This window comes from Homo sapiens, chromosome 3 (assembly GCF_000001405.40).
Source record: "Homo sapiens chromosome 3, GRCh38.p14 Primary Assembly".
NCBI lineage: Eukaryota > Metazoa > Chordata > Mammalia > Primates > Hominidae > Homo > Homo sapiens.
This window is the reverse complement of record NC_000003.12, coordinates 177,017,736-177,036,161: the sequence shown is the minus strand read 5'-3', so window position 1 is coordinate 177,036,161 and position 18,426 is coordinate 177,017,736. Positions and strand designations below refer to the sequence as shown.

Here is an 18,426-nt window from a genome sequence, read left to right as displayed (position 1 = left end):
ACATATCTTCTTGGAAAACTGAGAAGTAACTTCAGTAATAGATCTGGCTGAACGCGGCCTGGTTCCTTTACCTTTAGTTAAACAAATTAAACTAGTAATAAAGGAAGGCAGGGTAGTTTACCTAGCTAGCTTGTTTACTCATATAATATTAAGACTAACCTTTGATGTGCCATGGGTGCTTAAGTGCTTTTTACTTGGGAAGTCCACAATGTCAGTTACCCTCTAATGGTGTTGACTCAAGCCTTTGTGAATTAATCTTACTGAATAAATTTGAGTCTCACTAGCGGATAGGGCCATGGTCGCAACTGTTTACAGAACTCTCCAGGGAGTCTGTAAATGGCTCGGACACCCTCAGCTGGACTGGCGAAACAGGATATCTGTGTGTTAGTGTACTTTATTCATCCATTGCTGGGTCAGGGTCTGCAGGCAGACACCCACAGCTAGTGCCCCCATGTTGCCACAGCTCATGCCTATAATTAAAGCACTTTGGGAGGCCGACGTGGGCAGTTCACTTGAGGTCAGGAGTTCAAGACCAGGCTGGTCAACATGGTGAAACCCCATCTCTGCTAAATATACCAAATTTAGCCGAGCGTGGCGGCAGGTGCCTATAATCCCAGCTACTCTGGAGGCTGAGGCAGGAGAATTGCGTGAACCCGGGGGACGGAGTTGCAGTGAGCCAAGATTGTGGTGCTGCACTCCAGCCTGGGCAAGAGAGTGAGACTTCATCTCCAAAAAAAAAAAAAAAAAATTGGGGCAGGGACAAAACTGTGTAGGTAGTACAGAGTAAGAAAAGAGGGGACCTAAAAAAGTGAGTCTTAGAAACTCTAACAATCACCAAATCAAGAGGGATGAGCTTTCCAAAGGAAACTGAGAAGGTGACTGAGAAAGTGGAAAAAGAAAGTATGTAGAGGAAACTTATTTCAAGGGAGGTAAGAGTTGAGAGTGGCCAACAGTATCAAATTCTATGAATTAGAAAGGTCTAATGAAATCAGTTCTGAAAACATGTCGTTCAGATTTATTTTACTTGGGGTTGTAAATACATAGGGCACCAAAAACACTCTGATGCTTCATTATCTTTTAATGGTTATGTCACGGAAATGTAAAGTTGAGCTGATTTTTTTCTTGGTTGGCCCTCCTTGGGTTTGGCATGTTGTATGTGTATGTGTTAAGGAGATAACTGCAGGACCTACCATGTCTTTATTGAGTGATTTTTTTTTTCCCAGAAATACTCTTCGTGTTGATTTCTATGAATTTTTGCTCAAAAATAATAGTCACTTGAAATCTATACACACAGGCATATTTTCATCTCAGGAAAGGCTTATTCTCTACTTTGACTACTTTTTTCTACTTTTTTTTTTTCCTACTTTTCATTTGAGCTTTATTTCCTATGCTACTTTTTACGGTTCTCTGTGAGTCCTCATTATTTATAAGTTGGTTATTTATTTTCAGTTCTCCATTGTAAAATTTTCCTGATTCTAAAATTCTAAGAGCAGTTTATTATGTAGATCTTTTGCTTAAGGGACAGTGTAAAAACTGTGCCTTCAACATTTTAGGATCGTTAACTAATCTCAGAACAACTATAGTTAATTCAGTCTTCAAACTTTGTAATAGTGAATATTTTTAAAGGGCTTAAAGCTAACTTTTTTTTTTAAACAGAGATGTAAATATTAAATATATCCTATTGCATTTCAGTTTCTTTGTAAATATTCTATCATCATTCTGGTTATATCACTCATGTTTTAGACTGTCCATATAATATTTTAAGTGTCAAAATAATATTTTAAATATACTCATTGTATGGAAAAATAATTGTATACATTTTTCTTTTTTGTTTAGATATGGAGTATGAAACAAGACAATTGTGTCCATGATTTGCAAGCACATAATAAAGAAATTTATACTATCAAATGGAGTCCAACAGGACCAGGGACTAATAATCCAAATGCCAACCTTATGTTAGCAAGGTGATACTTCTGTTTCATTTTTCCTTTTATGAGTCTTCTACAAATCAGACTTCCAATAGATATGACAGAAGTTTAGGGAAGATTTCATGAAGTGGAAACTTTTTTTTTTTTTTTTCCAATTTCAGTAGTTTTTGGTGTATAGGTGGTTTTTGGCTACAAGAATAAATTCTTTAGTGCTGATTTCTGTGCACTGGTTTTGCAAGCAGTGTAGTGTACCCAGTGTGTAGTCTTTTATTCCTCACCTCTCTTCTCAGCCTTCTCCCCACTCCCACCTCCAGTCCACAAAGTTCATTATATCATTCTTATACCTTTGTGTCCTCATAGCTTAGCTCCCACTTACAAGTCAGAACATGATATTTGGTTTTCCATTCCCGAGTTATTTCACTTAGCATGATGGCCTCCAGCTCTATCCAAGTCACTGCAAAGGACAATATTTTATTTCTTTTTATGGCTAAGTAGTATTCCATGGTGTATGTATACCACATTTTCTTTATCCACTTGTTAGCTGATGGGCACTTACGTCGGTTCCTTAAGGGGAATCTTTAAACACTGAGTTTTATTATTGTTTCAAGTTATAATGATATTCTATATTGAAATAATCAAATATTGACTGATACCAAATACTGATTAAAATCCAAGCAATTGAGGCATAGCAAAATCTTCAGTATCTTTAGAAAAAAAAAAGATAAATGGAAAAATGTGGTCACTTTGGTGTTCAAAACCATGCGAAAGAGGGATTATTTAGACAGAGAGGAATACAGTAAATGAGCACATTTACGTTTTCTACTCCTGGACTTGGGAGATTCCTTTAAGTTGTTTTTTTCGCTTGTTTAGCTTTTAATTTCTAGAACACTTGCTCTTCTTTCTAAATTTCATTTATTTATTATTTTCTTGTCACTGACTTGAAGATCACAGAATATTCTTCCTAACAGTCCAGTCGGTCTGCTTCTCATAAAGAATTTTGGCTATTAGATTTGGCTGAATATGGGAGGTTGGGTGGGAGCAAGGCTGGGGGAGTATTTCCTTACTTATAAATTAACTTTCTTTCCTTCCTTTTTCAGTGCATCCTTTGATTCTACTGTTAGGTTATGGGATGTAGACCGAGGGATATGCATCCATACCTTGACAAAACACCAAGAGCCTGTGTACAGTGTAGCTTTCAGTCCTGATGGCAGGTATCTGGCAAGTGGTTCTTTTGACAAATGTGTACACATCTGGAACACGCAGGTATGTCTTCATTATTTAAATGGTCAAGTGCTCTTAAATTTAGGTAGAAGCATTTGCCTATACACTCTGCCTCACCATTTGGTTGTCATTCCTCTTGTGGCATTAATTGAATTATTGGTTTTAAAATAAGATAGAAACTAATGGAAGTTATATCTTTATGGAGACTGGAATTTTGAAATGGATTTTGATCATTTGTTTTATTATTTATTATTGTATTCTTTTGTTTTTTTCCAACGGTTTTGCAGATATCAGATGTGAATGTTTAAGATGTATTTATTTAGATAAATGACAGATTTTATTTTTCAAAATAGTTGTCTCCGAAGGAGCTATATGTGAGCAGTAAAAGTCAAAGGACCAGATTTTATGGCTGAATGCAATAATTTATGAGAAAGAAACTTACAACTACATTACCTTTTCAGGTAGTATGTATGGTGTTTCAGAGATTCTTAGAAGTGGAGAAAACAGTCTGTTGCTTTCAATTTTTTAAATCTTCTCAATGTTTTAGTTTTTTGCTCTATGTACTATACTTTTTTAATAGCAGTCACTGAACTCACCCCTCTCAGTTATCGGATCTTTGTTGGTTGTAGTGCACACATAATAAGTTGTTATGGTGTATTTCTCTTTGTGTAGGTGTCCGCCACCATGGTTCATTTCACAAATTAATTTTCATCACTTACTTTGAAGATTTTTAAATTACTTCATACATGCATACAGTTCAGAAAAAACCTCAAACCTTGTATAAAGGTATACACTGAGAAACTTTGTTCCTCTCCTGCTGGTAACAATTTTTATTAGTTTTTATTTCTTCCTAGCTTCTTTATGAATAAAAGCATTGTGCTTCTTCCATTTTACACTACTGCTGACAATATAAAGTAATATTTTACCGCACAGTTCAATCCATTAGTGATAAATGGTATTTCAGCATAGTTTTAAATTTGCATTTTCTTATGAATGACATTAGGAATCTTTTTTTATATATTTAAGCACACTTGTTAATTTTTCTGTGAACTGTTTGATCATGTTTTTTCCATTATTTTCAACTGGGTTATTCATTGTCTTTGATTTCTAGCAGCTCTTTATAGACTAAAAAACTAAACCCTTTGTAATGTGGTTGCAGATTTTTGCTAGTTGAACAAATGATTATTAAGCCTGAATCTTACATTACATTTTAATAAAATTTTTTAATATTTATTTTTGTTTTTCTTTAAATAGAAACGGGATCTTTCTATGTTGCCTGGGCTGGCCTTGAACTCCTGGGCCCAAGGGATCCTCCCACCTCAGCCTCCCAAAGTGCTGGGATTACAGGCATGAGCCACCATGAGCCTTCTAATAAAATTTTAGGCTGCACATGGTGGCTCATGCCTGTAATCCCAGCACTTTGGGAGGCCAAGGCGGGCAGTTCTCTTGAGGTCAGGAGTTCAAGACCAGCTGGTCAACATGGTGAAACCCCATCTCTCCTAAAAATACAAAAATTAGCCAGGTGTGGTGACATGTCTGTAGTCTCAGCTACTCGGGAGGCTGAGGCAGGAGAATTGCTTGAACCCAGAAGTGGAGGTTGTAGTGAGCCAAGATCACACCACGGCACTCCAGCCCGGGCAACAGAGTGAGACCCTGTCTCAAAAAAAAAAAATAAAAATTAAGTAAAAATGTTCTGCTTTAATTTTTATTATTACTTCCTTACCTCTACTCCCATATTTGCTGTCTTTATGAATATATGCCTATGTTGGATATATTCTGTAACTATGATATATATGCCTTAAAAACTCTTTCCTAAATTTTAGTTTAACTTTGTGTTTGTGGGAAGACACTAATCATACACCCAGCTAAACTTTATTTTTCATTTTTATTTTTATTTTTTGAGATGAAGTCTCGCTCTTGTGCCCCAGGCTGGAGTGCGATGGCACGATCTCGGCTAACTGCAACCTCCACCTCCTGGGTTCAAGCGATTCTCCTGCCTCAGCCCCATGAGTAGCTGGGATTATAGGTGCCTGCCACCACACCCGGCTAGTTTTGGTATTTTTAGTAGAGATGGAGTTTCACCATGTTGGCCAGGCTGGTCCCAGACTCCTGACCTCAGGTCATCCACCCGCCTTGGCCTCCCAAAGTGCTGGGATTACAGGTGTGAGCCACCATGCCCGGCCTCACCCAACTAAACTTTTTAAAACTGAACAACAGTTACAGAGTTGATGAAAGTGAATCTAAATCTAAATAATATCATTTCCATGTATATTCAAGTTAGTATTTGTTCATTTTCACTTTTAATAATTATACATTTCAAACAGAAAATAATATAACACTCATATATCTACTGCTCAGATTTAATTGATAAGAACATGTTGCCACACTGTTGTGAATCTCTTCCTTCCTATTTTTACCTGATAAAATGTTATAGATACAGATAAAGTGTTCACCTCCATTTTCCTCTTCCTTCCTAGAGGCTATAGCAATCCTGAAGAGAGTGCCTGTCATTCCCATGATAAATGATATATACTACTATTTTCTGTGGTAAAATTGTAATTAATCATGCTGTTGTGAATCTTCTATTGTATGTCTTTTCAAGCTAGTGTTTTTTACCACTTCTTTGAAATATCACATTAATACTTGTACCTCTAGAATGATTATTTATTTAGACTATTCCAGAGCATTATATGAATATATTAATATATTCATTAATAATATATTCATAATATGAATATATTAATTTTCAAATTTATTTTCCTATTGGGGGATTTAAAAATGTACAACATTGCTGGAACATCCATCCACGTTTTCTTGTGCACATGAATGAAAGTTTCTCTAACGCTTCTCTGTGTGTGTCTGTCTCTCTCTCTCTCTCTCTATATATATATACACACACACACACATACACACACACACCTGTGCATAGCATATCCTGTAAGTGGAAGTCATGGCCCATACGGTATATTTACGTGCTTGTGCCTAACTGCTCTTCAACGTGCATACACCCATTTACATTTCTAATCACAATATTTAGGATTTCCCATTTTCCTTTATCTTTAGGTTATCAGACTGGTGAACATTTTTCCAATTACATGGATATGAAACATTTTGTATTTGCATTTTCTTGATTGTCAATTAGTTTAAATATCTTTTCAAATAGTTATTATACAGTTGGACTTTAGCATTTTAGTTCACCACCACCACCACAATTTTTCAATTGTTTTATATTCTGTACTGATTAGTGTTCATTATGCATTCTGGGTACTAATCCTTCCTGGTTATATGGATTCCAGTGATCTCCCAGTACCTTCTTTTTTATTTTCTTCATGTGGAGTGTTTATCACGTAGAAGTTTTGTGGGGTTTTTTGGTTGTTGTTTTGTTTTGTCTTGAGATAGAGTCTCACTATGTCGCCTAGGCTGGAATGCAGTGGCAGATCAAGGCTTACTGCAGCCTTGGCCTTCCTGGGCTTAGCTAATCCTCCCACCTCAGCCTTCCAAGTAGCTGGGATCACAGCTGCATGCCACCACACCCCACTAATTTTTGTATTTTTCTGTAGAGACCGGGTTTTGCCATGTTGCCCAGTCTGGCCTCAACCCCCTAGGCTCAAGGGATCCACTTGCCTCAGCCTTCCAAAGTATTCCTGGGATTACAGGCATGAGGCATCACGCCCAGATCATATGAAAGTTTTTAATGTTAATGTTTAGATGTATTTATCTTTCTTTTTAAAATTAGTTGATTATTTTTAGAGATAGGGTCTTGCTGTGTTACCCAGGCTGGACTCCTCAGCTCAAGAGATCCTTTGACCTCAGCATTCTGTGTAGCTGGGTCTACAGGCACATGCCACTGTGCCCGGCTAGATCTTTCCTTTTTGATAGCTTTTTTTTTTTTTCATAGCTTAATACATTTTTCCTTATAGATATCACTGAGGTCTGATATTTTTTCATGAAGTATCTAAGTTTTATTCCTTTACATTTATTTTTTTAGCCCCTTTGGAACTGATTTTTATATATGGTGTGAGGTATAGATATTTCCATTTGGGTAGTCAGTTGTCTTAGCACCATTCATTGTCCCCTTTCTGTTTTCATAATGCCGGTTTCATATACCTAGTTCATGTATATGCAGTTTGTTTATTACCTTCTCTTTTATTCCATTTACGTATTTGCCTTATCTGAATCAATAGCATAGTTTTAATAATTCTAACTTTATAAATCCCTCTTGTTGTTATTCTTCAAAACTGTTTTTCTGTTCTTGCCACTTTAGTCATCCATATTTCCAAAACAGAGCACACAATTTTGGATTTTGTTTATGAGTGCCTTGAATTTATAGGTGAAATTAGGGAAAATCGTTATTGAGTTTTATCACCCATAAATACGTTATACCTCCATTTATTTGTCTTTTATTCCTTTGGTAAAGTTTTATAGTTTCTCTAAGGATCTTTTTTCCTAATGTGTTTTGAGGTGCCTTATGGTTTTTATGTTACTATGAATGACCTCTTTTAAAAAATACATTCCTTTTATATACTAGTTGTTGCTCACATTTAGAACATTTTCAGTGAACTCATTTAGTCCATTGTGACAAAATCAATTTTAATGAAATTTGGGCATAGAACTGTAGAGTGCTAATGGAAGATACTACAAGACATTGAAGGGCATTTGACCAACTGTTCATATTATTTTGTTTTCACTATTGTGTACCAAAAGTCTTACTTTTTCAAACTTTGAAAATAGTAAAACAGTGAATTTTCAGTGCAGGAGAAAATCATTATCCTATTGTTGTATATACATCCAGGTTTTTTGTTTTCCCCTTTCTTGTATGATGAGTTGCCTAAGCATTTGATGAGTAAATTGTAGAAGTCTTGTGCCAGCATACATACAAATTTGAGGTAGATGCCGATGATCTGAGCCATTGGCCTTTTTAAATGTCTTAGCTCTGCCTTGTTGCCCATAATGTTTTGGTTCGTTATAGCCCAGTTCAAGCTTAGAGATTGGTAAGTGCTTTTTAAAAGAAAGTTGTTTTGTTTTTTTAACCCCCAAGTTGGCTGTAGATTGAATGTCTGTAGGTTGACTGTAGATTTTATTTTTTATATCTCAGCAAACTAGATTTTGTTGGTTCTACTTTTTTCTCTCCTCATTAACTATAGATACTCAAAGCCTACTATACTTGAACTTAATCTCATAAATTATGAGAAATTTTAAGTAAACAAAACAGTTGAGCCTTCCCAGCCTGATAATCAGTAGCAATGTGTCAGTACCAATGCATCTGTGATTTGTGCCACATTACTGGGCTAAATTTGAAGAGGAAAGCTCGGTCAAACATTCTTCCAGCTTGTCATCTTGGATAGGCTGAATGGGAGGTATTTTCAAGGTGCATGGTTTGTTGCCATGTGCTTTTAAGTAGATCTGCCACCTCTAGCTTGACTTTAGGTTACCATAAAGCTGCAGAGGTCACTTTTCTGATTTGTCAGGGCCGAACACCTGAAGCATATATTTCAGTTTTCATAACAGGACCTCTGATCTTTGTCCTGTTATATTGACTGGTTTCATAGGAGAATATATTTTTGGATTGAGTTTTAATTCTTCAGTAGCAGCTGAATAATAAAATAACGTTGTTACATTTATGATTCAGCTTAATGAATGATTACATTATTAGTATTCCTGCCTGTGTTTTTTGTTTAAACATATAACGTCTTTCAAGAATAGTGTACATATCTGTCTGGGCACTGTGGTGCATGCTTATAATCCCAACATTTTGGGAGGCCAGGGTGGGTGGATTGCTTGAGGCCAGGAGTTCAAGACCAGCCTGGGCAACACGGTGAGACCTTGTCTCTACAAATAATTTTTTAAAAATCAGCTGGGCATGGTGGCATGCACTTGTAATCCTAGCTACTTAGGAGGTGGAGGCGGGAGGATCACTCTAGCCCAGGAGTTAGAAGGTGCAGTGAGCTATGATTGCACAGCTGCATCCATCCTGGGTAACAACAAGACCCTGTCTAAAGAAAAAAAAGGAACATACATACATTATTTTAGCTTCTTTTATAATCCCCTAGCTTAGGAACTGGTCAGTAAATATAGAGTGAATAACAGATTTATACTGGAATTATCTTTACTAGTTTGTTATACTTCCTCTTTAAGATGTTTTGTCAAAGAAATTCTGAATTTATTTTGTTTCTCTACATGTTAGCTAGACTCATGTATCATTTAGCAACAACAAAAACTTATTTCATGTGATAGACTGACTGTTTACTTCTAGCTATTGTTGGCTATGTCAGAGAGACCAGATACCTTAGCCAAGAATGGTTATCAAGACTGGAGAAACTGAATATGTGTGTGAGTAATCTTTTGAGAACAGGCTGGTATTATCTTTTTGTAAAGGGATCATATTACATTTCTAGAATTTCAGAACTTATTTTTATAGTTGAAGCTAAGTCCCTCCTCTGATTGCTAGAAATAAAGCTATGTAATATTTTTATTTCAGCATTTGGATTTATTATAATATGTATTACGATTTTTAAGATTTTGTTTTTCATTCTTTTAGACAGGTGCTCTAGTTCACAGCTATAGGGGAACAGGTGGAATATTTGAAGTTTGCTGGAATGCAGCAGGAGACAAAGTTGGAGCCAGTGCATCAGATGGTTCAGTAAGTATAGTAAAGTGTTTCCAAAGAGGGTGTGGGTGGGTATTCACATCAGAATGCAGCTTATTGTTAGTGATACCAAAGTGTTTTTTTCAAAATAAATTTTAAGGTATGATACTGATTTTTTTTTTTCCTGAGGCTGTAAACTTTTCATGTGCGTTGGATTCAAATAATGTAAACAAAATTTAGGCTGTCCTTACCAAATACCTTATAATCTAGAAATGGACAGTTATTTTTAATATGAACCTTCATTTATGAAATTAGGTATACCAGAGGAACATTCTGAGAAGGATTGAAATGTTTAATGTGTATTTCTACCTTCTCCTCTTCACAGAAGAATTTTTTTGGCCCAGGGAAGGCAGAACTAGAGGCAGTTGGTTCCTGTGTTGAGGAATGTGTGATACTGAAAGATTTTCAGGATGAGGTTAGCCAACTCTTTACAACAATGCAAATATGGCTTCCAAAGCTGTAGAAGCACCAGAAGGTGGGAAAAGGGTAGCTATTTACTGATGCTGTAGCTGAATATAATCTGTGATATCTTTCATTAGGGTCCAATAGATAGGAAATGGTCTGTTTTGAGCATTTTCCCCCTCCTTTTTAATCAACAGAGAGTATAAAAATCCTAGCCGTGGTTCTTCCCCCACAGTTTGAGCTCATGGTTGTTCTCTTGATCTGCTTAAATGATCTGTCTGATTTCTGTCAGTTAAGTGCTCATTTCCATGATTATTATGCTTTACCAATTTTATAAACTTGGAACTAAGAAACATTTCAAATTGTACTATAGAAAAGTTAAACATAAAATGTACAATAAAATTCTGAATACACTGGTTGATTATTTTAATTTCTTACAGGTTTGTGTATTAGACCTTCGGAAATAGCGCTACTAGTTGGAAGCCATGGACCGACTATGAATGTGTACATAGCCAAAATGACTGTCCCTGACCCATGTACTGCTATAGTCCCACTTGAACCATGGCCAGTCCACTACAGCCAAATCTAAAAGAAATATATACATACAGTGTATATAAACAAAATTGCACCCTGAAGATGACAGAGTTTTGTCACAGCTTGTGAATTCTGTTCACCAAGTGCTGGAATCTAATCTGCTGTGCCCCTAAAATAGCATTTAGAAGTTTTGGATATGAAAAACAGAAGAGAGAAAAATATACATTATAAAAGCAGAACATACATGTACCAGTTTTTGGATACTAAATGACAGCCTTGTTTCTCCCCTTTGAATCAGCAGACACCATGGATTATATTCTTTTTTTCCCTTCAGTAGTGAGCAGTTTGTATGTACAGAGAAAATGGACTTACAAAAACTTGCAGCAGTAGTTTGTTCTTGCTTTAAAATTTCGTTTTTGGTTTAGATTATGGATGCATGAAGTAAGGGAGTGAATCAGTTTCTTGTTTATATTTTTTTCACCTTTTAAACAAAAAATTCTTTAAAATATTTTAATGCATTCTTTTGAAGAGGTAGATGTTTGGTACATTTTATGGCTCCCAGAGCATATATTCAGTTGGTGCATGTTGTGGAAGGGGGAATTGGAAATTAAATGAAAACCTATGACTTTGGTCATGTCAATCTGTAAGACACATCAGTAAAAGGGTATTATGCTCTGTTGGTTTTGTTTTTTTGTTTTGCTTTTTTTTTTTTTTTTTCTTTTTTGTTTTTTGGTGATGTGGCTTAAATGCAATAGTTTCTTTTTTGGGACATATTTCTGCCAATTAAAGACTAGAAGGGCACAACTTTTTTTTTAATTACCATAGAGAAGATACATTAAAAAAAATCTTCTGATGTTTTGTAGCCATAACTAAATTATGGTAAAAATGTGCACTATTGTGAAAAGGAGCAACGTAGTTTTGGGTTTTTTGTTGTTTGTTTGTTTTGCTTTGTTTTTTAAGAGATTAAAATGTTTCTGGATAAGGATTAGCTTCTCGAAGTGTCCATCATTCTGTGTAGAAGCTTAAATATGTAATGTAACCAAACTCCAGTATTAAAAATCTCTCATGTTGTTTTCTTTATACAAAGCAAGATAACGGCATATAACACTGCCATTACATGGCAAAATGTTTGCTACCTTAGTTTAAAAAACAATCTCAAACAAAAGACTTGCTTCAAGGTGTTTTTAAATAGCAGTGATTCAGAATTTTTTTTAATGAAAGTATAATTGCACTAACCTTCTTCCTGCTGCTCTGATTCTGCATTTGTGGTACTTGTGACTACGTTTTTTCAAATATAGATAGATTTAAGCTGCTAATTTTTTTTTTTTTAGTAATCACTACTATATCATGTCTTTTACTCTGTTTATAATATCAAGTATTTTCTTAAAGATATAGATATTAAACCTTGTGCTCATGCAACTTAGAGTAACATATACAGACAAATGATTGCATGAGGCCATGTTTATATGTGTGACTAATAAGGCTTGTCATGATTAACATAATCCAGGTATGTCATTTCTGAAGAGAATAGTCATCAAATTTATATCTCGAAGATTTTAATTAAGGAATTGCTTATTGTTGAGCTTAGCAAATTAATAACACTATTTCTGTCACTAATTATTTTGAGGCCTTTTAGTACTAAAATTTTAACCTGTGTTCTAAGTAGAAACTGATTTAACCCAAGTAATGCAGCTTTGATTGATTTCAGCATTCGTTGCTTTGCTATTTTTACAAAACAGCATTGATTGAAGCAAGTCTTGGTTTTACTAAGGTAGGGTAGCATTTGCTATTGGTAAAGAGAATAAATACACTTAATTTCACAATACATTGTTATATGTACCCCAGTTGTTGTTAGTGGGGACTATGATACTGTAATAATATTTTTAAAAATTTACATCAAGAGAGGCAGTCATTCACGATGGTTTTGTGCCAGCTCTTTTTAGGGTTTTGGATCACATTAGAGATATTTAGAACATATTACCCTGTGACTTACGTAGGAAACCTAATATGCTGAGTATCTGGCACTTGAATTCCTGCTTTTATTGCTGGAGGTCCACATCTGTGGTTGACCTCTGTTATTGTTTAAAAAAAATAAATAAAAATTAAAAAAATCTGTGCAATAATTTTAAAATGTGCTCCCAGGAATAGACACAAATGTTTTGAGTATCTTTTAAGCTGCATTTTCCTTTAGTGATGCATTTGTCAATTGCACTGAATTTAAATCTGAAAGTCAGAGGTGATTATTGATAGTACTTTTGTATTTTGATATGGACAGTTTATTCATTTGCATACAGTTATTGACTTTTTCCCAGCTGATTAAAAGATAGTCAAGAAATTCTGCAATATAGCTGCCAAAATAGACAGCTACATTTTTATGATATTGTCATCTTTTCTGTTTTTTTTTTCTTTTTTTTCTTTAGCTATTTTACTTAAGCATAATAGCCACAATAGGACATATAAAAGATTATAAATACAGAGCTTTATTATCCTGACGTCTTGGGTCTTTTAAGTATATACTTTTCTGAAAGGTATCCATTTTGTAGGCTTGGGTTCTTCATGAGCATACGATTGTTTATTTTTGCTGCTGTTCTCAACATCATCATTGCCTGCTGATGTGCCACGATGCTGCTCCAATAGACAGCAATAAGATTGTCTCTAATTTGAGCAGTAACATGATTGCAAGAGACCAAGTTTCACAGCTTGTAAAGTTCTGTATTTGGGATTCTTGCTTATTTTTCCGCCTGTGTTTTTCTGAGAACTTATTCCTGATGATCAATTGAATCCAGTAGTTTTTCTATGCTATTTGTTGTTGTATAAGCTACTGTAAGAAACTTATCATAAGGAAAAATAGAAAGGAAAACTTGAATCAATACTCATTGATTAAAATGGAATAAAGAAAGAGCAGCTGCCACTTTTAAACAACATAAAGGAATATCTTTTTTTGTCTCCGTGTAGGAAATCCCATAAGTTCTTATATTTGTTCCAGTTCCCATTTCCTGCCATTGACCAGATAACATCATTGACTTTCAAATGACTTTTAGAAGTGATAACTCTTAATTTCCTAATAGATACTAGATTGTATTGAATTCTGTTTTAATTATTCTCTAGGTAAGTATGTTTTAGGATTAAATACCTTTTACAGATACTGAAAGTGCCTCCTTTTGTGGTGTAAAAAACAAATTATGGTGCAAAAAGTAATCACTAGATTGAAATACATGAAGGTTTTTTGCTTTTTGACATACGAAAATGTCAAGAGAAAGGCCAAAGATTTGTACTTTTTCACTTACAAAGCACTCCTTTTTCCCTTAAACTTCTTTCTGTCAAATTAGATTTAATGAGAGAGTACTATTTTTAAGGAGCTATCTGTTTATGTAGAATGATTTTGTTAAGAGTAATGTAAACTATTATTGAGTAGAGGCCTAAAGAGGACTGTGCATTTTTGCTATTTAAAGGAATCACAAATGATCATACTTAAGTGAGCAAAAATGACAAGTTTTACTAGCTAAGTAGAGAAATAAATCTCAAATGCAGCGCTACAATTTTCATTATCTTAAGTACATTGTACATTTCTACAGAACCTGTGATTATTCTCGCATGATAAGGATGGTACTTGCATATGGTGAATTACTACTGTTGACAGTTTCCGCAGAAATCCTATTTCAGTGGACCAACATTGTGGCATGGCAGCAAATGCCAACATTTTGTGGAATAGCAGCAAATCTACAAGAGACCCTGGTTGGTTTTTCGTTTTGTTTTCTTTGTTTTTTCCCCCTTCTCCTGAATCAGCAGGGATGGAAGGAGGGTAGGGAAGTTATGAATTACTCCTTCCAGTAGTAGCTCTGAAGTGTCACATTTAATATCAGTTTTTTTTAAACATGATTCTAGTTAAATGTAGAAGAGAGAAGAAAGAGGAAGTGTTCACTTTTTTAATACACTGATTTAGAAATTTGATGTCTTATATCAGTAGTTCTGAGGTATTGATAGCTTGCTTTATTTCTGCCTTTACGTTGACAGTGTTGAAGCAGGGTGAATAACTAGGGCATATATTTTTTTTTTTTTTGTAAGCTGTTTCATGATGTTTTCTTTGGAATTTCCGGATAAGTTCAGGAAAACATTCTGCATGTTGTATCTAGTCTGATGTACTTATCCATCTCATTACAAACAAAAACACACAGACTGCATTTGTAGCTCTGTAATCCTTGAATACGGAAGTAAATTTTCTTCTTTCCTGACTTTGACATTGTAGCTATACTGTTTCCATTTTTGTTTTTACAAATCCTTTGGGTCTAATTCTGTGAGCCTACCTATAGCACTGGATTAAAATGTCTGCATCATTTCTTTAGTTATCCAGTTAACTTTAAAACTGTTGTAAAAGTGTAAACCAGCCCATGACAGGTTTTTGTACATGTTAAAGAACTTCATTGTTCAGTTTTCATGATTATTGTGTAAGGAAGACTGATGTAGATGTTCTGTGCTGTCCTGGACCATGTTAATTACACTTACGACGTATTTTAGTTCCACATCACAATGATTTGTCCCCAGTGACCCTTTTATCCTTTCTAGGCACATTTCTTGTTGTTGTTGTTGTTGCAGTTCCCCTTTGCATTGTATTGCTTTGACAACTGTAATTTGAATCAGATCTGAAAGAGGTCCAGAATAAAATATATTTTGATATTATGTTGGCTGTGTACATATATAAAACCTTTGATGTCTATGTAGTTTATATAGACTATTTACTAGTCAGGTAAAGAGAGAGGGATGGTATTTCTTGTTTACAGTTTGTTTACATTTTAATTGCTTTTACTTCTCCAGTGTTCTATTGTAGAATAAACCTTTTTTTCCAAGTTAGCCTTCATAACCTATAACACATTCATTCTCTCCCATACTGGTGTTACTGATTAATAACTGCCATCAGAACCCAAACCACTGTTTTTCATAAACGTATTGTTTCCCAAGATATATACTTTAAGCCCATAATAAAATTACAAATTTTACTATTTTTATTACTTCTTGCAGGAGATAAGATTTTTTTAAATGAAGGGGTTATTTACTATTTTTATTAAAGTATAATAGAGCATCTAATCAGCTAAGGGATTGTAATTTTTAATTCTTTTGAAAAATAAATATTGTATTTAAAAGACGTTATTTCACAGAAGCTGAAAAAGAGACCTTAGATAACATTTGTTTGGTTAGCCACACGGTTGAGCACAAAACAATGTGTAGATGTGTTGAAGATTAGGGCAGGAGGCTCAACTTCTCGGTGACCTTTTTTTGCTTCACAACAAGCCAATTATAGTTGAATCATTTTCTCTCTTAGCTAGTTGTTACTACAAACTTTATAAGAAAAACAACTAGACACCTTCTAGTTTTAATTAATACCAACTCCTTTAGAGTTAGAGACTTTTTAAAAAGAATCATTGAGCATATTTTCTTTTTTTTTTTTTTAAGAATTTACACTCTCTAGGTCTTCTATTTTTCCTGTTTATTTCCTTAAACAGAAATAAATTCAAGCATAGTTTTATGTTTTATTAGAAATAAGCCACTGCAGTTGCTAGAACTGACATGCTTTCATTTTCAAGGGGTTAACTTTTATTGCATGGCATAGATTATTAGTAATATCCTGCATTGTATACTTTTCCAAAAAGGGTTGGACTCCTAAGGATTAGAATCCTTATAAGCTTGAGGGAAAGCTGAAACTAATTTGAACAGTAATAGAAGGGATTATTTTTAATTTCATAGTTAACACTTTACAATGGATTAGATTTATTACCTAGTATAATCCGTAGCAGATCAGATCAAAGTTTACTGTTTTACCAATATATTCATTTGAAAAAATACAGTGGAGGAAAAGACACTTTAGATGGTAGTTTTATGGTGCTTTTCTCTGCTGTACCAAAGTGCTTTGTCATCAATGAAATGTTAACCCTATGCTACTTTTTCTGCATGCTTCTTAAATGTCATCTTAATGCTTAATTGTCCTAACTTGTAATATTTTTGTATTAAATTTTTTTAGGAGTTCCTTGTAATTTCTTTACAATTTAAAATATATTAAACACAAAGTGTTTAGTAAAGTACAGAAGACAATTACTAATGTTTCTTGGTTGTTGGGTTTGTATGATCCATTGGGCAGACAATTTATATTTTAAGAACTAAGACCAATGGGGTGGAATCTATACCGAAAAAGATATCACAGTCTTATTTAAAAAAAAAAAAAACAAACTTTCTGACATACTAATCTAATGTCAGAACGAGCTGCCTTAAGAGATGTTGTGCTGTCAGAAAGCCGTAAAGCATAGGTTGGATTGCCACTGGGCCGGGCTCCTGTGGAGAAAACAAGCACTGCCTGAGCACCTCAAATAGACTTGCATTAAAAAATCTAGTCACATTGAACTTCACAGTCTGAAATCAGACATTTAAAAACAGGATCAGCTTCCAGGATCTCTCACATTCAATATAGGGGATTTTGAAGAATCTACACACTGCCAAGACAAGACCTTTTCCCTAAGCTTTTATTGGTTTAATTTACGTACACTTGCTGGACCAGATCAATTATCTGATTTTCCAACCTGGGTCCATGAGGAACAGTGCTCCCCATAGAGAGGGAGGAATAGCTAAAACTCCTAGCAGAATGAAGAGCTGCCATTTGGGATGGCCTAGAGTCATCAAATAATTCAAGTTAAGTTTAATATGACATAAAAATTAGCTATGTAATATGGATTTTAATATTTCCACCTGAAATGGTTGAAATATTTTAGTGTGTGGGAATAAACTGAAGTTGGACAGATCTGGTGTTGAAGTAAATGAAGTCTGATAAGAGTCAATTAGCGGTAAGTTCATTCTACTTCTTAAACAGTGTTGGTTAACTTGGAATGTGCGTTGGAATCTTTTATGCCTTGTCCTACCCATTGACCAATATGGTAGCACAAGGTATGTGTGCTGCTTTTCATATGCTTGTTTGGTTTTGTGTCATAATGTGGGAGGTGGTTGTCACTAGCATGTGGTATATTTATTGTAGAGCACATGCTGGTTAAAGAAATTTAAATACAAGGTATAAATAATAAATGTTCATTTTCAAACTCCCAACCAAGTCCTTAGTGGTATCCACTGTTAACAACTTGACATATGTCCTTCTAAGCATTTTCAATACCTACTTTAAAAAAAATACAAAAGAGATCATAATCATTGAATTCAGAAACTCACTTTTTCACAGAAACCATCAGGGACCATTGTCCCATCCACTTAAGTACATTCAAGTACTTCCCTATACTGTAGATGTAGAATATACTGTATGGTTTAAAGAGCATGAATTCTGCCTGACTGACTACCTGGGATGAATCCAGACCAGCTGCTTGGCCTAAGGAGTTGCTGTCTTGGTTTCCTTGTCTGTAAAATGGGGATAATGATAGTTACTTTTCTCATTGATGGGTTGTGAAGATTACAAAGTTAATATATCTGAAGCCCTTAGAGAATGGTGCCTGGTTATATAAAGCACACTGTATATTACCAAACATTTTTATTCCTAATGGTAAGATTTTATTGTACACCAAGATTTAGCCCCCTATAATGTAAATTTACTTTTTCACCGTTTACTATTACAATGGAGCAATAAAATATTCATATCTACAGGACAAATAGAACAGTCAATTCTGATGTACACTCGTTTAATACACACTTCAAGGATTCTTTAAAACTCGC

General features: G+C 34.7%; 1 protein-coding gene across 18 annotated transcripts in view; it reads left to right on the top strand.

Moving 5' to 3' along the window:
* TBL1XR1 (TBL1X/Y related 1) overlaps window positions 1–16,818 on the top strand; it is a 182,457-nt gene extending 165,639 nt beyond the window's left edge. For all 18 annotated transcript variants that reach the window (XM_047448940.1, NM_001374327.1, XM_011513142.3 and 15 more), the window contains 4 exons: window positions 1,837–1,964; window positions 3,026–3,191; window positions 9,688–9,789; window positions 10,638–16,818. In XM_047448940.1, coding sequence (XP_047304896.1) covers window positions 1,837–1,964; window positions 3,026–3,191; window positions 9,688–9,789; window positions 10,638–10,664 — 423 coding nt within the window. In that variant the 3' untranslated portion in view covers window positions 10,665–16,818. The remainder of the gene's footprint in view (window positions 1–1,836; window positions 1,965–3,025; window positions 3,192–9,687; window positions 9,790–10,637) is intronic.